The 4,937-nt window shown below is 34.5% G+C and overlaps 1 annotated feature.

Annotated features, from left to right (window-relative positions):
• Nucleotides 2,709–4,733: an enhancer, noted in NCBI's record as "VISTA enhancer hs1233". NCBI's record gives its function as "enhancer in: neural tube[3/4] | other[4/4]" and the evidence as "EXISTENCE:transgenic organism evidence [ECO:0001131][PMID:17130149]".

Here is a 4,937-nt window from a genome sequence, read left to right as displayed (position 1 = left end):
GCTGGAGGCATCACGCTACCTGACTTCAAACTATACTACAAGGCTACAGTAACCAAAACAGCATGGTACTGGTACAAAAACAGAGATATAGACCAATGGAACAGAACAGAGCTCTCAGAAATAATGCCACATATCTACAACTATCTGATCTTTGACAAACCTGACAAAAACAAGAAATGGGGAAAGGAATCCCTATTTAATAAACGGTGCTGGGAAAACTGGCTAGCCATATGCAGAAAGCTGAAACTGGATCCCTTCCTTACACCTTATACAAAAATTAATTCAAGATGGATTAAAGACTTACATGTTAGACCTAAAACCATAAAAACCCTAGAACAAAACCTAGGTAATACCATTCAGGACATAGGCATGGGCAAGGACTTCATGTCTAAAACACCAAAAGCAATGGCAACAAAAGCCAAAATTGACAAATGGGATCTAATTAAACTAAAGAGCTTCTGCACAGCAAAAGAAACTACCATCAGAGTGAACAGGCAACCTACAGAATGGGAGAAAATTTTTGCGATCTACTCATCTGACAAAGGGCTAATATCCAGAATCTACAATGAACTCAAACAAATTTACAAGAAAAAAACAACCCCATTTGCAAGTGTGTGAAGGATATGAACAGACACTTCTCAAAAGAAGACATTTATGCAGCCAAAAGACACATGAAAAAATGCTCATCATCACTGGCCATCAGAGAAATGCAAATCAAAACCACAATGAGATACCATCTCACACCAGTTAGAATGGTGATCACTAAAAGTCAGGAAACAAAAGGTGCTGGAGAGGATGTGGAGAAATAGGAACACTTTTACACTGTTGGTGGGACTGTAAACTAGTTTGACCATTGTGGAAGACAGTGTGGCAATTCCTGAGAGATCTAGAACTATAAATACCATTTGACCCAGCCATCCCATTACTGGGTATATACCCAAAGGATTATAAATCATGCTGCTATAAAGACACACGCACACGTATATTTATTGCGGCAGAATTCACAATAGCAAAGACTTGGAACCAACCCAAATGTCCAATAATGATAGAGTGGATTTAGAAAATGTGGCACATATACACCGTGGAATAGTATGCAGCCATAAAAAATGATGAGTTCATGTCCTTTGTAGGGACATGGATGAAGCTGGAAACCATCATTCTCAGCAAACTATCGCAAGGACAAAAAACCAAACACTGCATGTTCTCACTCATAGGTGGGAACTGAACAATGAGAACGCATGGACACAGGAAGGGGAACATCACACACCGGGGCCTGTTGTGGGGTGTGGGGAGGGGGGAAGGATAGCATTAGGAGATATACCTAACGTTAAATGACGAGTTAATGGGTGCAGCACACCAGCATGGCACATGTACACATATGTAACAAACCTGCACGTTGTGCACATGTACCCTAAAACTTAAATAATAAAAAAAAGTCAAATTGGTTATCTTAAATTGCAGAACAACTCATTACAAAGAGTTACAACACTCTCCTCTTTTATTCAAGTGTTTTTGAAATAGATAAAAAATGTCAACTGGTTTGATCATGAGAAAGGAAGACAAAACAACAAAAAAATTTTAAAAAGGAAAAATTCTGACAATATGAATTTATTTGTTTTCAATTAATGTGCATTATAAAGCTGTTTATTTAGAGGACTTGCTACATATTAACTTTTCTGAAGTCATGAGTAAAAATGTGAACCATAGTTGAGAAATAGTCACTCCTCAAATTAAAGATTTTGGGGAGGGGGTAGATAAACCTAATGAATGAAACATACGTTACCATTTGAAAAATACTAAGGTGTGTTTGTTGTTTGTATAAATAAACAATAAAATACAAAAGGAGTGTAGGTCGTATGCCTAAGGCAGTGAAACAAGGTAAAGAGTGGTGTTCTGGGAACTGCTAGTAATATGAATGGTGTGAATGCTGAAGTCAGGAAATATTTGCACTGCCTTTTCCTATTCCCCTTTTCTTTTAGTCTTTGATGGATATACAATAATTATATTTTATAAGAATGCCAGTGGTGACGGAAGTGCTTCTCCTAATGCAGAGGCTGTAAAGCTATCAGAAGAGCTTTAAGCAAATGTTATCTGTTTTACAGAAGAAATCAATTACCTGCAGATTGCTTAAACCAGTGACAGGCATGGTAAGGAATAAAATGTGTTAAGTAGAAAAGTTACAGCCATCAACATGTAAGGAATTACATGATATATGAAAGCAATCACTTGTTCAATTTACCTTCAAAACTAAAACAAGTTCTTTGGCATTGGAAATAAGCATGAACCTCTCTCTGAAAAGGGAACAATTTCTAACTCAATGGAAAAAGTACTGTATAAATTTTAGCCAGCAATAGTGTTATTAGGAGCATACAACCACGTCTTCAGAGATAAAGTATGTGAACTATTTAACATACTTATATCAAAGTAGGCATCAGTTTGTCTTCATCTTCCTGCAGTTCAGCATTATGTAATTTTCCATATATGCTTGGAATAAAAGGAGTCTGCCAGAAAATGCTCTATACTTTATAACATGCCTTATATTCATATCAAACTGCAAATAATTTTACTACTCCATTAAAACTATCCTAATATATTTAAGTTCTAATATTGTTATCTGTTGATAACACACATTTTATTATTATTAGCAGAAACAAATCCAGAAGTGGACCTTTTTCTTCTGCTTAAAGAAGAGAAATAAATGTATCAAAGAAGCCCTGACAGTTCTAATGCAGGACATCATGCTTCAGATACTCATCAAAACTGTTACTCAGGTGGAGTTGACATCTTGCTCATGAAACAAGGTCACAATTTTTAGTTCTTTTTCCTATCAGTTATTCAGGAATTTTTGCATCATATAAATGAAATTTTAAAATGAATTAATTCAAATCACATGTAACATAAAAAAGTGATTTCTTAATATTGCAAAAACAGAATCATTTTACTAGATGTGCTATTAGAGACATCACAACATAACCATCATATTTCCGTGAGTGTCACTGTGTGCAATGACAGCCATGATGAGAGATACCTGCCTAATGAAGAACTTATGTTTTTCTTTTTACTTTCTTCTTTTTTTAAAACTGAGAAGTGTTTAGAAGAATTTGATCACATGATCTTTTAATAGAATCAGAAGTAATATACCAGCTGGTGCATATCATTCTTTCATGATATTCTAAGGGAGAGTTCTATTCTGATTTAATTTTCTTGGGAATAAAATATGTATATTCAGATTTCATGCAAGTCAATTGTCCTTAATGGACAAATGCTAATGATAAATTTAAAGTACAACATTTTTGTAACATTTGTAAGTTAAAAATTTTAAGAAGAGTCATACTAGTCATTTTTTATCCACACTAACACAGAAAACAATATTGTGAAAATTCCCAAATGAAAGACATTGCTATCGCTTTTTCCTCTGCAAGATTATCAGGTTGATATAATGACGTCCTACTGATTATTCACCACAGACCTTCCAGCAGGATAATGCATTCTTAAAATATGAACTTGAAACTAAAATATTAAATATGCATTTCCTCCTCCTATAGGACATGTTGAAATGCCACATGCTGTTGGTGAGAATGACCCATAAGTGTTGGATTTTCTCCCCCTTGCTCTTCTTTTCCAGAAACAGTTAGTGCGGCGTGCAGTGAACCAAATCAACAATGTGATTCAAGCTGTCTCCGTAGCTTCTTGGCAAAAGAAAGATAAACTATAAAAACTCCCCTCCTACAGCTTTCAGCTCTTGCTTCCCACACTTTAACATCTTCTGTCACCTCTGGCGCTGTTAGTGACCCATGCTAAGCTAAACTAAAGGATGATAAGTTTGCTGCCTCTGCCCTTGTCCTGAGGGGCTGCACATTATCCTATCAAGTATCAGTAGCCATTTCTGTGGGATATTTGTCACCCCACGAAGGCCTTTGGAACAAATGAAATGGGCAGCGAATTACAAAAATGTCATTCTCTAAAGGAAATGGATGAAGGCTTTTGTTCTCCAGTAATAAATAGATGCCATAGGCTTATAACACTATTTTTATATTAAATTTGACAGGGTTACTATTTCTAGCTCATTACGGGAACAGCTTGAAAACTATTTCTTTCTGTACTTTAAAAAATAATGCTGCTTCCCTCTTTTCTTCCTAGTAATAAATATAAACAGTATCTGGCAATAGATACTGGAAATCATAGATCATGATTAATTTGAAGTAACTTTTGCTAATGTTTGTTTTAAAAACATACAAAAACCATTTTTAGGGAGAGATTTTGGACTATAAATGAATTATGTAAGAGGTACCTATTAATGCATTTTAAAAGTCTGATTTATATGTATTCCTTCTTTCTTTGTAAATCACAAATATATTACTTCCTTTTCTCACTTTTCTCACACATTATGGTTTTACAGGGCACTGTGATAAATATGCCATAGACAAAGGTCAAGCAAAGGATAATAACTCAATTCCTTAAATGAAAGCTTCGAAGTAAATCCTCTGTGTTTAACAGCAGTATACAGGGGTCAAGATGACAATGTCCCAGACTTGAGAATAAAATGTGTGTTAATATCTTTGAGCATCAGTACATTTGTTAAATGGGTATACTTGGACTGACATACTTAGGTTTTCTTTGAAGTAGAACTTTAGCGAGATACCTAATTCATGATAATAAATTAAATACCACCACATATTTTTAAATAGACTTAGATTGTGTAGTTTATCAGGTTGAACTGAGTATTTTCATGGTAATTATAAACTATTCCCAATAAAATAGGCATCTTTCTTCTACAGCTTTACCTACACAATGATTTTGGAATTGAGCTACCTTTTACTTACTACACTTATTTTGCTAAATAAAATTTGTAAAATAAAGTATTAAAAATAATTCATTGGAATTTTTCAGTGATAGTTAATTTGGCCCAATAATGTATTGATGAAGACTGTTAATAG

The sequence above is a fragment of the Homo sapiens genome, chromosome 6, assembly GCF_000001405.40.
Source record: "Homo sapiens chromosome 6, GRCh38.p14 Primary Assembly".
Lineage (NCBI taxonomy): Eukaryota > Metazoa > Chordata > Mammalia > Primates > Hominidae > Homo > Homo sapiens.
The sequence above is the reverse complement of the archived record's forward strand: the minus strand, read 5'-3'. Positions and strand labels throughout refer to the sequence as shown.